Source organism: Homo sapiens, chromosome 8 (genome assembly GCF_000001405.40).
Source record: "Homo sapiens chromosome 8, GRCh38.p14 Primary Assembly".
NCBI classification, from domain to species: Eukaryota; Metazoa; Chordata; class Mammalia; order Primates; family Hominidae; genus Homo; species Homo sapiens.
This window is the reverse complement of record NC_000008.11, coordinates 59277465-59296033: the sequence shown is the minus strand read 5'-3', so window position 1 is coordinate 59296033 and position 18569 is coordinate 59277465. Positions and strand designations below refer to the sequence as shown.

At 38.1% G+C, this 18569-nt stretch overlaps 1 annotated feature.

The window, feature by feature from the left end:
* Window positions 13133–13202: a silencer, noted in NCBI's record as "silent region_19222". NCBI's record gives its function as "represses an Ori minimal core promoter by ATAC-STARR-seq in GM12878 lymphoblastoid cells {active_cell/tissue: GM12878}" and the evidence as "EXISTENCE:reporter gene assay evidence [ECO:0000049][PMID:35858748]".

The window sequence follows — 18569 nt, the reverse complement described above, 5'->3', positions numbered from 1 at the left end:
ATGGGTATTTAGAAACATGTTTTATGGCTTACATAATAAAGAAAGGTCCACAGTTTGATATTTCAAAAGCAATGTAAGTATTGAAATACAATTCCTGTTTAACTATATGTGGTTAATCTGCAGACCAATTTTACCAGCCCTTAAGTTAAAACCACCCACATTCTGTAATTGAGACATGCCGATACCTTGGGTGGTCACTTAAATGTTGATACTTCTTACATTATGCCGCACTATTCCTTTTGATTTTTTCTTCTAGTTTCAGAATTCTCAACTTGAGCTCCCAAGCAGCACCACATGAAGTTACTTTACTATGATTATAAAAAGAAAGGGTAAAGCGTGCACTATTTTCATTCCCATTGCAATCATTGTCCCATGAATAGATTCTTGATCTGACATTTTCTATTCTTATTGCAATCTTTGTCACAAGAATAAGTTTTTTTCTTTTTTTAAAAAAATGTTTCATCCATGCTGTGAAAGCCAGCAGCAAAGTCTACTGCTTTGACCTTTTTAATGTTCTCCCATTTGATTGGGCAACGATTTCTCTTCTTTTCTTTTAACAGCATTGGTAACTTAGGAGAAAGAGGTAGAATAGCTAGTCAGTCAAAATGAGACCATATGAAAGGTTAAAACAGAATAGTTTATTGCCTTTCATAGATAACACTAGCCATTGAGATTCTCATATCTTGTTCTTGTGACAAAAAATGGCAAAGAAACAGAAAATGGCACAACATGAATCCATTCTCATAACAACAATTGTAACAAGAATGAAAACTAGTACAAACAACCTATTCCTCTTCTAATCTTATACTTGGAAACTTGTTGCTCTACGTGACTGTAGTTGCAGTTTTCCTCAGCCAACTACAACAATTCCTTTTTCAATTAATTAGTTAATTTAAATGAATTCAACTTTACGAAAATATCAACCACAGATGGATCGTAATCACTTGTATATTTCCATTCATCACTCATAATTATATACATTGCTCTCTATAGAAATTATTCCCATGTAAAGTACTAAATACATTTGACAATAAAATGCTTCAGATTTGTTTGGTAGTTTTTTTTTTAATCTCAGAATAAAACATTTGACAATAAAGCACATAACTGAGTTTGAATCAATTTGGGAAAAATTATTGACCAGTTGGTTTAATTTTTTTGGCATTACACATAGATTGTGAAGGGTAGAAGCGAGCTGACACTTTGATTAATTTAATTGGTGTGGACAGCCAATGCTGGCCATTACTCTAGATGGCTGGGGAAGGCTGTGGGGTAGACGTTGAGGTCTGGATGACACATACTGCCTTTCTGGTCAATCATGTATACTGTCAACTCTTACCTTTATTTTTAATATTTATACACAACTCGCTAGTGAACAAGTCATCTAAAGACATTATGTTTTAAGGCGATACACCCAGCTCTCAAAATAATTTCAAAAAAACATTTTATCTATATATATTTTGTAATCAGAATTAAGCTGAAGTTTTAAGCAAACATTGAATGTATTATATATTTGGCATCATATAGATGGCTGCATTAGTTTCATGCACCTAGTATGTGTTCAATAAATTTTGGTTGAATAAACCAATAAATGACAGCTCAAATTTCTGTCTTATGTAGCTACCCATGGATTGAATGTCTGGTGTTATGTCTAATTTTTAGGTGGTTTCTTAATGGAAATCCTGGAGAATAATGAGAAAGCTCAGAAAAGACACTACTAACAAGGGAAATCCTACCAGCCCAATGGGGATGGCTTTGTTAGTAGGAGATTAAGATAAATTGCACACTCTGAGCATTTAATCCAAGCAATCACTGGCTGAATCTAGCAGGCAAAACACTCTAGAACAAGCTGATCTTTGCTTTGATAAATTCAGGGGATGGCCAATATTTGGCCCCTTAATGATCATAAAATGCCGAATTTCTGTTTCCACATGGTGGGCACTCAAAGAGAGTTGTTAAATTGAACAATTGTTAAGGTAGAAGTTTATAAATACGCCTTTTTGAAATTAGTGATTTAAGGGCAACATAAAAGTTTAACACTTAATTCATGTTGTTGCTTTAAAAATACTGTGAGATAAAACTTCAGGACAGAATTAAGAGTATTCTATGGAAGACAGCCATAAAGATGGTCAAAGCTATTGCCATAACCTGACAGATGAGAAACAAGAAAAATCTTCTGTACTAGAGAGGGGTCAAGTGAAATCTTTACAGCTGTTTTGTAATCACTTGGGGTATAGGGTTTTTTTCAAAGGCTATAATAAAATTAGTCACTTATTGTAGTTGACTGGTGTCAGAGTTAATATCCTTCAGACATTACAGAATCTGTGTCCTAGGAGCTGTTTCAGTCCATCACTTTTCTTGCTCTTCTTGAAACATATATTCTTTTTTGAAGCATTCTACTCCTTCCTGTGTTATATTTTGAAAATCCCGTGTGAATATTTTAGTACTTTTACTATAAGAAGACTTACTTCTTATAGCTTTGCTTCATTAAATGAAAAAGTAAACTGGCTTGGAGTACTTTGGTTTTCTGAGTTTGAATTTCTGTTTTAAAAAAGCAGAAACAAGAATATACAACTTCATTTACTAAAACAGAAATGAATACAGTTTGTACAAACACAGGCTCCATTTTGGAGGTTCCCTTCAAGTAAAAAGGAATCAAAGCAAACCAGAAGGAAAGCAAGGGTAAAAGTTACATAATCAGAGCAAGAGCAGGAGCATTCTAGAATCAAAGGCCCTACCATCTATGGGGTGAACCTCACAAGATTAGTGATGAGATGATGAAAGACCAGGTCCCACTGGACTGAGAGAGCTTTGTGTGAATGGTGTTGCAAAGGTGTTGTTGCCATTCTGTGCGTATTCTTTTGTTTGTGCCTCAGTTTCCCTTCTATTCCTGTGACGCCCTTCCCCCTTCTTCTTGGCCTGGATAACTTCTTTGGGGTTTGCAGGACATGGCCTATGTGTTGCCCTATTGAGGAACCCTTTCCTGATTCTTCACAGCTTCAGGCTGGATACCCTTCCTGGGGATTCCATAGGACTTTGTATTGTAATTAATTGCTTCTCTGCTTCTCTCATTCCTACCAGGTTTGTTCTTCCATGAGAGCAGGAACACACCTTTCTATGGAGGGCACCTGACTCAGTGCTCATCACAGAGTATGTACCCAGCAAATATGTATGAAAGAACAAATGAACTCAGGAGAGAAAGAACTTCTAATGCAAGCAGAATATCTTTGGTTACCAATGACTAAGAACTGTGCAATAGAAAATACTAGCCCTGAAGTTAAGAAGATGGCCCACTCAAAAGATCTGATCACACCAAACACCCAAAAGAGGATGCAGGTTGGTTGAGCAAAGATTTAGGGTTGGTACGAATTTTCTAGTTCTATCAGAACCTATCTCTAACTTTTAGCGTTTGTTCTAGTACAACACATTGAATACTACCCTCTTTATGGAGAATGGGCTCAGCAAGTTTTAACAAATCCTTTTGTCATTTTCAAAAATACCTGATTTCAAACACATCCTTAGTGTTATGATAAAATGTCTTATAATGAGAAAGACCTCATCTAATTATCATAGTTAAGATTCCTATATGTGGGAAAACCACAAAAGCATCCGTTTAAAGAAAGGTATGTGAGTATACTGGCTGTTACAGTTATTCTCATTCAAAACCATCCTCAGGGGTTTCTAAGTCTTGACAGGACAGTTTTGTTTTCCAAGTAGACGGTGCTTAGAAAAACTATGCATGAGGTAAAATTGTATGGAACTATTTACCCCCAAAATGCACTACTGATATAACTATTCTTGCATTGTTTTTGAACTATTTTCCCTATTTTTGAGCTATTTTCACAACTTCTTATGCATCCAAAATTTTTTCCAAATAAAAACTTTTTAGAAATACACCTTTGTGGTGAAACAATTATCCTATGTGTACAGATTAGGTAACTAGAGAAGTTATCCGGTTTCCTCAAGGTCATCATGCTGGAACAGGGCAGAAGAGGGGCTGAAATCCAGACCTGCTCACTGTCTCCCAAGATCATGCTTTTCCCATTTTAGCACACAACTTCCTTAAATCAGCTGAGTGTCCTCTAAGTATTTAATCAAATACTCATTGGACGCTTTCAAAAGCTTTAACCTTTTTCATGTTTTCTGTCAAATGGAATATGTCCCTTTACCAATACCAATACCACACACACACATACACACACATTCTCTCTAATACACATGTGTACACACACATATATACACTCCCAAACACGTGTGCACATACACGTGTTGGCACACACACACCTACTTTCATCTCCACCTTCACTGCCACCACTTCATGTAACCAGTGTCTATGAATGACTTAAAAGGAGAGATCTAGAACCAGAGGAAGTCAAAGTTGGCAATAAGAACTCTTTGGTGTGATTTTGGTTGAACAACCACACTCGCAGCTATGGTCGTGGCAAGATTTACATATTTGGAACTGAAATTGGCATAACAGTGGTGGGGAGAAAAACTGAGACTGAAGAAGGGTTTTTTTTTAGCAGTATGCAGTTCAGAAATGTGTTCTTCCATATGTTCTTTAGGTTAGGCCAATTTTTTCACTTTTAAGTTTAAAAATTATTCTATTTTTTTCCCTACCTCACAAGCTTAAGTAATTATCCTTTATAAAATTATATAATTTCCAAATTTTCCATGACAAAGTCAGACACCAAGTTTTCTCTGTACTTAGGACATTTCTATTTAGAAGAAGCATCTCCTGGGTCTGATACACCAGGAGACCAGTCCTCAATGTGTTCAGTGGTAATTGTTAACAGTCTCAAATCATTGATCATTGTTCTTTCAGAATGAGGCTTTGACAACGGAGAGAAACCACTTGGCAATGACAGTATACCTGCTTGATTATTTTTGTTTCCATATTCTCTTCTTCCAATCTCTACCTGAGGTCACAGAAGAATGTTCTAATTACATTAGAAAGTATTGACAATGCCCTTATACTTTACACAGCCTTTTTTTCCTTCAAAATGTCTAATGTACTTTTTCCTTTATGTAATTTGTCTAGGGAGACATAAAACCTTTGTATTCTGGAGATGAAAAATGAGAAAAAGAGATGCTGTCAGCCACCTAAGACAACATAGTTAGAGTCAGTAATAATACGAGAGAGAGAGTCAAGTATTAAACATCAGACTGCTATTGCTGAATATGACAATGAGACCATAGCATTATGCTTACATACCTCTTTATTTCTACTCCAGTATATCATACTCTGATTAGGAAGCATTCCAAAAGATCATCCCCTGATGTCTGTTATGACTGAATTGTATCCCCCAAAATTCATATGTTGACACCTTAACCCCCAATGTGACTGTATTTGGAGACAGAAGCTTGAAAGAGGTAACTAGGGTTAAATGAGGTCATGGGATGGAGCTCTGTTCCGGTAGTACTGGTGTCCTTATAAAAAGAGAAAGAAACACCAGAGACATACATGTGCACAAAAAAAAGGGTTATGTGATCACACACAGGAAGGCAGCCATCTGCAAGCCAAGGAGACAGGCCTTAGGAGAAACCAACCCTGCTGCCACCTTAATCTTGGACTTCTAGCCTCCTGAACTGTGGGAAAATAAATTTCTGTTGCTTAACACATTCAGTCCTTGGTATTTTGTTATGGGAGCCCTAGCAAACTAGTACAATATTCATGATTCTGCTGGAACCTAATATAGCATATTTGACTTTACTAACTTCAATGAATATTTGCTGTGCACTCAAAAGTTTCCCTGTCCTTTCAATCAACACATGTTAAGAACTCCTGGTGTAAGTGACATGTAGGATAACTTGGTTGGATAAGGTCTCATCCTTGCCCCATAGAGTTTTGAAGTCTGATAGAAAAAGCAAAAGTAAAATACATGAAGGAATTATTAAAATCTCTAAAATGGTTGTTCACACAGACTCACAAGACAGTGAAATTCTGTGATACAAATTTAGCATGTTCAGAGAAAGAAGGGCTCAGTAAGACAAGTCTCTTAATGTGGATTAACACAAATGGGGGCAACTTGTTCTGCAAAGGGCCACTTAAAAAACATTTTAGGCTCTTTGGGCCATGTGGTCTTTGTTGCAACTCTTCAACTCTGCCATTAAAAGCAGCCACAGACAATACATAAGGAAATGAGTGTCAAGTATTCCAATAAGGCTTTATTTTTGGACATTGAAATTCAAATTTTACATAACTGTCACATGTCATGAAATACTCTTCTCCTCTTGATTTATTTTAACCATTCAAAAATGTGAAAACCATTCTAAGCTCACCGGCCATACACAAATTAAGGGTAGGGTCAGATTTGCTCCACAGGCCATGATTTACTGACCCCTAGTATAACTCATTGCATTTCAAAATGGTTTCAGCGACAGATTTCTTTGTTCAAATGAAACTTGGCAATGAAGCACAATGAAGACAATGAATAAATTAACATGAGGAGGGAGAATGAAGCACCCTGTTTGGCTGTAACTGCACTTCCAGAGAAGCTCTGGAGCAACACTGATACAGTGGTTTAGGGATCAGAAAACCAGGCTTTTGTTCTGGTTCCCTTATGATTTGTAAAGACTTCATCAATTATTTAAATACAACACACTACCTTTTCCTGAATTTCAAAAGGAACATCTTTGACCACTTTTGCTCAAAACTTCTATTTTTTATGATGAGTATCAATAATTGATTCATGCAGTAGATTCTTATACCTGAGCTTTGGTTTAAAGCATGCTAGGGACAGCCAGCAAAGTGGAGTGCCCTTCCTCATCTCTGCTTATGTGACCCCTCTCCCTTTGAATGCCCTCCACTCTGAGGATGGATAGGCAAAGGGACAGGCTCCTCAGTGGCAGCCTTGGAGACATGATTTCTGAAGCCAAGCAGAATGGAAAATATTTGCCAAGACACTAGAACAAGAAAGTATTATTCCAGGAGAAAACAAGTACATTGTAGCTTAAGAAAGAAATGGAATTTGGGGAACTGAGAAAAATGAAACAATCAGTTTGGGATGCTATATATAGTAGGCTGCAATGACAAATAGGGTTGGATGGGTTGATGGGGATAGATCCTGGCAGGTCAAGAAAAGGAGACTGCTAGGTTTACATTTGATGTAATCAGGAGACAGAGGTGATAGCATGGCATGATCTAGTGATCAAGCAGCAGAAGGAGAGGCAATGTGGCAAAAAGTTTAAGAGTTCAGACTCTGAAACTATACTGCCTGGGTCAAGTCCCAGATTTTTCATTTGCTGGATGTGAGTTTGGGCAAATTATTTCCCATCTCAGTGTTTCTGTTTCCTCAAAAATATAAATAACAATAATATATCCTTCTTTGGTTCTTATGAGAATTAAATTGTTAACACTTATAAAATAACATGGAATAGTCCCTGAAATATAGTACCTGCTCAATAAAAGTTAGGCTATTGCTATTATATGCCAATGATTACATACACAAACACACACACATACACACCCACCCACACACACACACACAGCTTCTCTCAGATAGATATTTAGCAGGCAGTGTTACTATGGGAATGACAATAGGATTGGAAAGGATGCAGTCAAAAGAAGTTTCAAAGAATTATCCTTTTGACTCAATGATAGATTGAAGAAAATGATGCAATAAAAGATGGATCTAAAGTTTTATGCCTAGAAAACTAGGAAAAATGTGGTGGTGTTAACAAATGGAGCAGTTCTGAAAGAGATTTGTGAAGGAAGAGTTCTGTGGTTTCAGGTATCCTTTTTGAAGCGTTGAGAAATTCTTTAAAGATCATTCAAAGACATGAGACTGTAGTTTGTGCCAAAGTTTGGGCCATTGAAAACCATGGTTGAATTGTAAGAGGATATCCAATCATTAAGTCAAGAAAGGAAGCTAGAAGGGAATGGAGGCCTAAACCTTCCAAGAATGGCCAGAATTCGGAAATGGAAACAGAAAAAAAAGCCATGAAAGCAAACAAGAAGAGATCTGTCCAGAGAGGTGGTGGACAAACAGAAAGCTGTTGCATGTTGGAAGCCAGTGACAAGAAAATTTAAGGAAGAAGGAGATTTGATCAGTGAAGCAGTATCTATTGTGATACTATTAAAAAGAACGAGAACAAAAAAGACAATGCTGAATTTTTAAAGAAGAAAGTAACTGGATATCTTTAAAGCAACAGATTAAATAAATTTGTCAGGATAAAAATCATATTGCAGAAGGTCAACAGAGAATAGTGTAGGAAAGAAGAGTTAATGAAGATGGACAATTCAGTCCACTTTAAATAAATTAGAAATAGTAAGTAATTAGACAAGATGCTACCATTGAAGTTTCCCTACCTACTTCATAAGCACAGTCAGTAGGAAAGGTGTTGACAGCCTCACAGGATGACTAGACCATGGTGCCATTTTAAGAGACTGTCCATCATCTCCCATTATTAATCCATTCCTTCCTTAATACTAGAACTCTGATTTTCAGTAAGCATACTGTCAGGCAGACATACAGCTACATTTCCCAGCTTCCTGTGCATCTAATTGCAGCCATGGGACTCAGTTCTGGCTACTGATATGTAATCAGTGTGATGTTGTACTTCCAAGATGTCTTCTTAATAGAAAGGGTGCAAATCCCAAGCATGCCATTTGCCTGTTCTTCCACCCTGAGACAGATGGACTGCCTAGACATTCCAAAGTCATCTTGGAGCTCCTCAGGTGGGTGGAGTAGTGAAAGGAAGGAGCCTGGCTCCCTGATGCCATAACATCACTGGCATATACATTTCAACTTCCTTAATGTGAGAGAGAAATGAGTTTTCATCCTGTTTAAGCATGCATTATTTGAGCTATTTCTATTATCGGCCAAACCTAATCCTAACATTTAATCAATGATACTCAGGATGCTCCAGGGATGAGATAAAACAAATGGATAAAATAAACAGATTCACATAGCAATCTGAGCCTAATCCAGGCCCTTCTCTGTTTATAAATTAGAAGCAATATACATTCTGAAAAACCGGAGGAGACAGAAAGAATCTCTAGTGGTAGGGCTCTTCACCCAAGTGAGAGGCACACTCAAAAGAGGCGATTAAGAGAATGCAATGAAGATATTATTTATCTAACAATGCAGGGTTAAGCAAAGCCAACAGCACTAATGAAGCACCTTGGAACTAGCAAAGTGGGAAGCTGTGGGCACTCTCAGGCCTAAAGGCACTCGACAGAAGCTCTCACCTTCAGGAGGGATATGCAGCAACTATGTCCTGTTGGGGAGGGAGGCAAGGCAATGAGTACCCCGAGATCTCCTTATGCTCACTTGTCTCCTGCTGGGGACTCCCATTGGCAAATCCAACCAGAAGCAAAGAGCAGGGAGCCTGGTAACGCCAGTTCATAAGGTTCAGCCTAGCGAGGCACCAAGCAGGGAGAAGAAGTAGAACTGGAGGGGGAAAAGGAAAATATCCCGTTCAGGCATGATTCGAAGTGTGAAAATGGTGTGAAGACAGCTATGACAGAGAAAACTGAACGATATACAATGAGCAAATACATTGTTTGGAGCAGAACCTATGAAGAGGGAACGAGACAAAGGGAAGGACCCAGTATATTTAGCAGAGTCAAGAAGAAAATGGTTCTGTCCCTGAAGATCCAAAAAGTCAGATGATCATCTTAGCTAGTTGTTTCTAAACCATTCCCCTTCTACTTACGGGATCCATAGTAACAAGCGTCGACACTCAAAGTACAGAAAATACTTATCCTTCTAATAATGCATTTTAAATATCAAAGCCTGGGTGTCTCTGAATTTAAACCAGCCCTCTTTTTTCCTTTTTGTATCCAAAGGAAACCAAATATATTATCTACTATAGAGATATATTGAGATACATTTACATCATTTAGGGAGAGGAAGCTCCTTCTCATAACCATCCATGACTTGGAAAAAAAGAGGTTAAAATTGACAGATTCGGACTTCTCGTGTGGATACACATAGCACACTATTTCCTCACTTCCAAATAAATGTATTGACTGCCCACTGTGTATTTGGTGTTGCTCCATATTAAGTTATTATTAAACTTGGCAGAATCAGATGTAATAGAGTAATAAATATTTATAATTTTAAAGAAGATTATCTGAGAAAAGACTCAATAACCCTGAAGTTGGAGATTATAGTAATGGAAGCCAAATGTGGTAATCTTGCACATCAATAGCAAATGAAATCAAAACAACAACAAAATAACACCACATGTTATCTCTTTACTTCCAACATCTCTAGACCCTTGATATATGTTGCCTGAAGCAGAGCCACTCCTAGATTGTGTGGGGCTTTGTGTAATATTTGTCAGTGGGGACCCTGTCTATATAGATAACTTGATTTTTAAAATGCACTGCAAAATTCATGGGCCCATATGAGGCACAGTCACCCCTGGATGGGGAATTTCAAATCTCTTTATTGCAGGAAAAGGTAGCAATGCCAGGACTTTCTAGAATACACTTGTATTGAAACAATCTTGTTCTTACCTTTGCAGTTCCCAAGCACCATTAATGCAGTGCTGGTTACATCACTGCTAATGAACTGCATCATCCACTGTGTCCAGCACTCTAGTTGCCAATGACACTCTCAGTGGTTGTTACCCTGCTTCTTTGATACTGACCCCAAATGCAAGTCTTATCCAGAACACGTAGGAAAATGGCAATGCTGATTCATTTTCTATTCCTATTACATTTACCTTTCAGAATTTTCTAAGATCAGCTTCGAGCAACACATCCTCCAAAGTATGAGCTTTAGGCTACACTCACTGCATTCCTAAAATGAGATGTCTTTCAGTGTTTACCCCACCAGGCCACCAGCAGGAGGAACATGCACAGAGTGAGAAAAGCAATCAATCCACCCCCACACGGCCTAAGTAAGATGCACCTGGAAGGGCAATGTCACCATAGCCACTGCAGACAAGAGCAGCCAGCGAACTGAAGGGCCCTAGGGAGTTGGGTCTGGAAGGCCCTCAGAGAAAACAGAGGGCTGCCTGACACACAGTGTGCAGTCTTCAAAGGACAGGGCAACCGCCCTGCATGCGTTCTGTACCACCATGGGGGCTGTGGCCAACCCAGGAACCTCCCTCTCCCCTACACATGGCTCAAGCCCAAGTAAGAGCCCTGTGTCTTATTTAAATGAGAGTTACTTAAAATCAGCCTATTAGTCCCAATCTGGTGGCCCAATCTCCTGTGATCCAGGGAGCCGAGCGGATTGCCAGGCCACCCATCTAGAAACAGGGCCAGCCAAGGCACCCACCACTGGCCTGTGGTGTAGAGGGTTGAAGATCTCCTGGCAGAGGAGAAATTCAGCCAGGAACCCAGAGGGTCTGGTCCACTCTGGGGCCACCCTGTTATTCTGCAGAGACGGTGCTGTGGGACCTGCCCCTGCCCTCCCCTTTGGGACAAGAAGTTCCAGGAAGACATTCCAAACTCAGGCCTGGGGCAGGACCCTGCTTGCCCAGGTCTAACTGTGGGCGGGTCTGAAGCAGGTAAAGAATAAGTCTAGAACTAAACTCACAATAAACTCTTCTAGACATAGAAATGAGGGCACTTAAAGTGACTGTTTTTCCTAAACTTCTATGCACCCATTCATCCTAATGACCCTTTGAGAAACAAACACACTGGTTTGGGTGTTCCAGCAAAATCAAATCACATCTTCAAATTGAAGTTTCAGCACAATAAGCATAACTGTGGGAAAATCCATTCAATCTTTTCATTTAGAAATTCCCTCTTTGTCTTTCTAATGGCAACTTCCAGTGATGCTTCCACTGAATAATTGTACGCTTTAATGAAACACACACACACACACACAGACCCCTAAACAATGTTCTACACTTGTACGCTTGATCTTAGCCAAAAAGCCGAGAAGTAATCTCCACATCTGTAAAGGGAAAAAAGAAAAAGAAAAAAAGCATCCAGGTGTAAGAACCTACGTAAAATTCCAGGGTGGAGTTATGCAGGCTGAACTTCTCAGGCAAGCTAGAGCCTCAGATCTCGTTGAATAGGAACACTTAGCCGACTTGTTGAGCTAATCTACTATATGTAACCCTTAGTAAAGCAAAGTGAATGTGAGACTCATATCTCTAATATAAAGCATGGTACTTATACATAAATAAAAACATGTAGAACTGGGGCAATTATCTGTGTAAATAGAAGGGAAGAAAGCGCTATGGGAGGAACAAGGGGAGATTGACTATTTACACCCCTCAGTTTCACCCAATGATTACTCAGTTCTCCAGTGTGCTGTGAAAATGCAGTTTGAAATTAGTTATGGGCTGAGTAAATAGCTTTACCAATCTAGCCTCTGCAGAAATCCTAATATGCAGACATGACAAAATTGAAACTATCTGGGGAAGAGTTACAATGTGGGACTAGCTGTTGCTTAAGAATAGACAATTATGAGGCTGTGTCCTGGTCAGGAATGAAGCGCTGTATGATGGAGTTGAAAGGCCACTCATGGTAGACTTTAAATTGAGTTTACAACCAACTGGACTGCATACGGTTTTGCACTTTAATCAAGATCTCTTTACATTCCCTGCTTCTCATAGAAGGTCTTATGGGAAAATAGCGGAATGCAAGCCCAGAATATTTCATCAGCTGTTTTGTGCCAGACTGAATTTCTTCAGTTTATATTTAGAATACTTAGGTTGGCAAGAAGCACTGAAAAACATACACTGAAGTAGTTCTTGTATAAATTACAGTACATCAGTGTCACACAAATCACCAAAACTAAGAAATCCTAAGAATTTTATTTATAAGTTATACTTTTAAAAATAAAGAAAATGAAAACACTGAGAAACACAGAAGAATTTTCATGGTTGACTTCTCCCCTCTTTAAATTGACAAGAGATAAAAAGGCATCTCATTTTTTTAACTAATTAAAAAAATTAAAATGTGTCCATCTGTTTTTGCTGTATGGGTTGATTGCTTTTCTTTTCAGGATTTCTTCCTAGACTGAAAAAATAAAAATAAAAAAAACCCTTTGTTTGCTAAGTAGGAATGTAGCCCTTTAAGACATATTTTTTCATCACACTCCATGAAAGGGGATATCATAGCCTCCCTTATTTATTGGCAAATAGTCCTATATTTCATTTATGCTTTCAAGTGTTTCATTGGCAATCTGTGACAAACTGTAAAATTTGCCACCTCTCCCCAGAACAGCTTATGAAATCTGTCAGCTCTCTGTGTAATTTACATGAACCTTAATTATGAATCAGTGTTTCGTTATGAATAGAGGTGTTCGTCGTTAATGCCTTCACCGCTCAGTAAGCAACACCGCTATCGCCAAAAACAGTGTTCCTCTCCCACAGCACTTCCTTTTGGATGGCCACTTCTGTGGTTACAGACATTTTACTCAATCTGATGGTCAAGTTATAGGGAAATGATGCATGATCTAGGGACTTTTTACATTGCAAATAAGCAAGGATATTCTTACTGGAAAAATGAAAATCTCCTGAGACTGTTGGTGACTGACACTATATTTTATCTACACACTGAAACAACACACTTATCAAATGAAAGAGAAGAAGAAAAATTACAAGAGATTTGATCTTTTTTATAGCTTCTAATAGTAAAATACACTGTATGATTAATGAACCTGTCAGTTGTAATGGAAAGAATATGTAACAAGTAACTGTGCATTACTCGTTTGTGATTTTATCTTTTATAAATTCAGCCATGTGTAGTGTGATAAGATTAACTCTTTACAATTTTAAGGTAATGCTATAAAGTAAGTTGAAAACTGAGTCTGTTCTATTTTTGCCTTTCTGCCAATTGTTAATGTGACTTTTAAGAACACATTTCCGTCAATCGATAATTACTCAATCAGCAGCTTATTAAGTTTATATGTCAATAAATTTCATTACCAGGTGTTTGATGAAGGGGAAAAATGCTCTGGCATTCTTAGTGTATGCAACGGCTCCATGAGAAAAAATTATTTTTTAAATATGTTCTTTGCTAGATTTATTAGCCTATATAATATTCATAGAATTCAAGCCTAGACATACAACTACCATTACTCAGAAATATATGCACGGCTTAAGTTAGGAAGCATAGGTAGTGAGAATATCATCTTAGCATCAGATTTATTACAAAGAAAGAAAGAAAAAGAAATTTTTTAAAAAAGGAAGGAAAGGAGGAAGGGAGAGAGGGAAAGGGGGAGGAAGAAAGGAGGAAGGGAGAAAAGAAGATAGGGAGGGAGGCTGAGCACAGTGGCTCACGCCTGTAATCCCAACACTTTGGGAGGCCAAGGCAGGCGGATCACCTGAGGTCACGAGTTCAAGACCAGCCTGACCAAACTGGAGAAACCCTGTCTCTGCTAAAAATACAAAATTAGCCGGGCGTGATGGCGGGTGCCTGTAATCCTAGCTACTCGGGAGGCTGAGGCAGGAGAATCGCCTGAATCCGGGAAGTGGAGGTTGCAATGAGCCAAGATTGCGCCATTGCACTCCTGCCTGGGTAACAGAGTGAGACTCCATGTCAGAAAAAAGAAAGGGAGGGAAAGAAGGCAGAAAAGAAGGGGAGGGAAGGGCAAGGGAGGAAAGGGAAGAGAGGAATGGTTAGAGAAGGAAAGAGATAGTAAGGGAATAAAGACAAGCTCTAGCGGCAGTAGAATGCTCTGAGGAAAGGGGTTGAGAGAAGCGGTAGGTAAGAACAGTGTTATAATTGAGTCTCCATCTTCCTCTTTGCCTAAACTTACTGAGATGGAGCAAAGTATTCTCAATTACATCCTCTATGAAAAATACAAAACCTGTGTGAGCATCTCAACATTTAAGTGCAAACCTGATGATATTAGCGGCCAGGACCTGTGTGATTTGATGGTTGCCAGAAAACAAAAATGCCTCATGACTCTTCTGTTAGTCTGCCTGGGTTCCCTCCTTGCCCCTGGAAACCAGCCTGAAATCCCACTGCTTAGTTACCTTAACAGACTACAAAAGTAGGGTGCAAAGAGAGAAACGCCAAATTTAAAATGCATATATGTTAAAATGAGGGGAGAAGATGAAGACGAAGATCAAGACAAAGAAGAAAGAAGAGACATTTGTTGCGCTTACTACATTCCAAGTTTTGTGATAATAACATTATGTTTTGCCTCTTTAAATATTTTTGTAAAAAATAATGTTACTATTATTTGTATTCTCATTTTACTCATGAGAAACTGAGGCTGAGAGCAGATATATCACTAACTCAATGTCAGAGAGCCAATAAATAGCAATGATAAAGTCTGAACTTGCAAGGGCCATAATAGTCCTTAGCCAGAGTCTGCAAACTGAGACTCAAGAGAGGTATTGTTTCCCAGGGGAGAGACCACACCTGGAGAGGGTGGTTGGAAGTTTCATTTACAAAGTCAGCAAGAGGTCACAGGCCAGTGGGAAGACGAAGTAAAGACCCAAGTGGAGGGTGAAGAGGGATGGCACCGAGGTGCTGTAGATAAACCTCTCTTACCTCACCTTTCTCCTGCCACAAACTAATCACATCTATACAAAGTAACAGTTTAGGTTCTTCTTCCACGAAGGGGAATCCATTCCATATTTTTTCTGTAGAGCAACATACTAGAAAGGGGTCTGGTTGTAAAGAAAACAGCTGAGTTGTACCCTGGTGGGGCTTTCATGTGCCCTGCACAACTCTAGGGGATGCCAAATTGCAAAACCATATGTGAAGCCAGGTGCAGTGGCTCACGCCTGTAATCCCAATATTTTGGGAGGCCAAGGCGGGTGGATCACTTGAGGTCAGGAGTTCGAGACCACCCTGGCCAACATGGTGAAACCCTGTCTCTAGTAAAAACACACAAATTAGCTGAGCGTGGTGGTGCATGCTTGTAATTCCAGCTACTCAGGAGGCTAAGGCAAGAGAATCGCTTGAACCCAGGAGGTGGACAGAGGTTGCAGTGAGCCGAGATCATGCCACTGCACTCCCGCCAGGGCAACAGAGCAAGGTTCTGTCTCAAAAAAAAAACCACGTATGGCAGGACTTCTCACTGTTCAGATAAAGCTCTGCCCCCTTGGGGAATTTATGTAATTTTTCTGAACTCCACTTCCTCAGATGTAAAAAGGGATACAAATTTCCACCTCATGGTATTCTTATGAAAATTTAATGGGTATTACACCTGGCATAGAGGTTAGCAATCTGATTGTTGAGAGTCTGGTGTCTGGTTCAATGTTAAAGATCTGTAAAATAAAGAAGTATAAAGTAAGTTTAAAAGTGTGACTATTCCTACATATGTTCAATGCTTTACCAACTATAATTTGATATATACACACAACTGGCTAATCAATAGATGTTTTCACACTACTAGGGGAATCATTTCAGGTTATATTTTGGACAAGTATTGGGAAAAGGATTATGTCTGTGGGATCAGGGAAATTTTCTGAAATAAGATGAGATATAACTATTGGAGTGTTGTCAATTTATGGCAGGGTAGGCTGGAGAAGATTGAGAGTCATACGCAAATATTTTATTTTTTAAGTTTTGTATTTTTACTGGAGGGAATCAACTTATTACTTCACATTTCTCTTTTATTTTTATTTTTTAAACTTGTTTTTAGGTTCAGGGATACATATGAAGGTTTGTTATATAAGTAAATTCGTGTCACAGGGGTTTGTTGTACAAATTATTTCATCACCCAGGTACTAAGCCTAGCATCCACTAATTATTTTTTCTTATCCTCTCCCTCCTTCTACCCTTCTCCCTCAAGTAGGCTCCAATGTCTGTTTTCCCCTCTATGTGTCCCTAAGTTCTCATCATTTAGCTCCCATTTATAAGTAACAACATCTGGTATTTGGTTTTCTATTCCTATGTTAGTTTGCTAAGGATAATGTCCTTGAGCTCCATTTGTATTTCTGCAAAGGACATTATCTCATTTTTTATGGCTGCATAATATTCCATGGTGTTATATGTGCCACATTTTCTTTATCCAGTCTACATTGATGGGCATTGAGGTTGATTCCATGTCTTTACTATTGTGAATAGTGCTGCAATGAGCATATGCATGCATGTGTCTTTATGGTAGAATGATTTATATTCCTTTGGGTATATACCCAGTAATGGGATTGCTGAGTTGAATGGCAGTTCTGTTTTTAGGTCTTTGAGGAATTGCCGTAGTGCTTTGCACAATGGTTGAACTAATTTACACTCGACAAACAGTGTTTAAGTGATGAACCAATAATTTAAAGGCCAAAATCAGACAAGAGAACAATGAATTCATGTAAGAAACACCTATAGGAAGTAAGGAATACTCAACAGGAAAAAACAAAACCCAGGCTTTAGGGAGAATTACTGTTTCCCTGGATGAGTCATTGTATGCCAATCACAAACTTACAAAGTGTCATCTTGATTCTATTCAGAATTTGGAGAAAGAAGTGACTTAATAGCATGTTATTTCATTTAACAAAAAAATTACCTGGTATTTATGAGATTGTCTATATTGTTAAATTTTTGTGTGCATATATTTATTACTTATCTTATAAATCTACCTACTATGGTATCCAAAACTAAAGAATTTTGCCTGCCAAAAGAAAATTCCTAAGCCACAATCATAGATAATAATAACAATACTCTGTGGGATATTAATTTATAATCTAACTCAAGGTTAATTTCAACTGTCTAATTACTATGCTATCTGTGGTTTGAGTGCTAGAATTTTTCATGTTTAAGTAACCCATAGATTAGGGTTTGTCAGAGGTTATTATATCTGACAAATACTGTGAAGTTAAAGCTCTAAATTTGAACATGTAACTTATGACTGTATCATTTCCTGCAAGTTTATATGGAGACCACAGAAAGCACTGCCAGGAACAGTTGATTGGTGAATCATAGAATTCCTATGCCAAACATATACAAACAAGTAGAAACTTTATGTCTAAAGATAATTGGCCTTCCTTGAGATTTATTATTGCACCCCGTACTGAACCTGGCAACACAGGTGAGCTTTGTGACTGTACACTTCGAGATCATAACTTACCCTTAGTTGAAATCTTGACTCACAAAATAATTGTGCTTGGAATCTTTGTTGCAGCCTAATGAGTTACATATGGAATGCATGCAGTATCTTTTTACCTTCCAACTATCCAAGCAAAAATGAAACCACAGTTACATAAAAAATCATCCTTTTATTAAAACCCAAACGTTTTCAATTTGAGGTGGAAGCTCCCTTTAGGACAGACAATGCTAGAATCAAGTTTCTTTTGATGGTATTTCTTTCTCTTTTCCCTGCCTGCTTCCCATACTCCATGGCCGAAGATTCTATAATATTTTGTGCCCTTTTCTTACCTCTGTTTTGATAAGAAGTATACTTTTAAAATATTCATTAGTGAAAACATTTATTAGTGAAAATTGTTTTTCCTTAATTAACAGGTATATCCCTTGACAAGGAAAGAAATTATACTGGGCAAAAGTATCAGTTAATATTTAGTATCTCAAGATTTTTAGGAAGTTATACATTTTTAAAAAATTAGCTATTTTAAAGCTTTTTAAAGCTTTTCAACAACCTTTCAATTTCTACCATAGCTTTTCCTTTTTGAAAAGTCTTGTGTTTTTATTCTCTAAAATCCCTATTCATGTTTAGAAATAAGAGTAGCGTATTTGAAATAAGTTAATT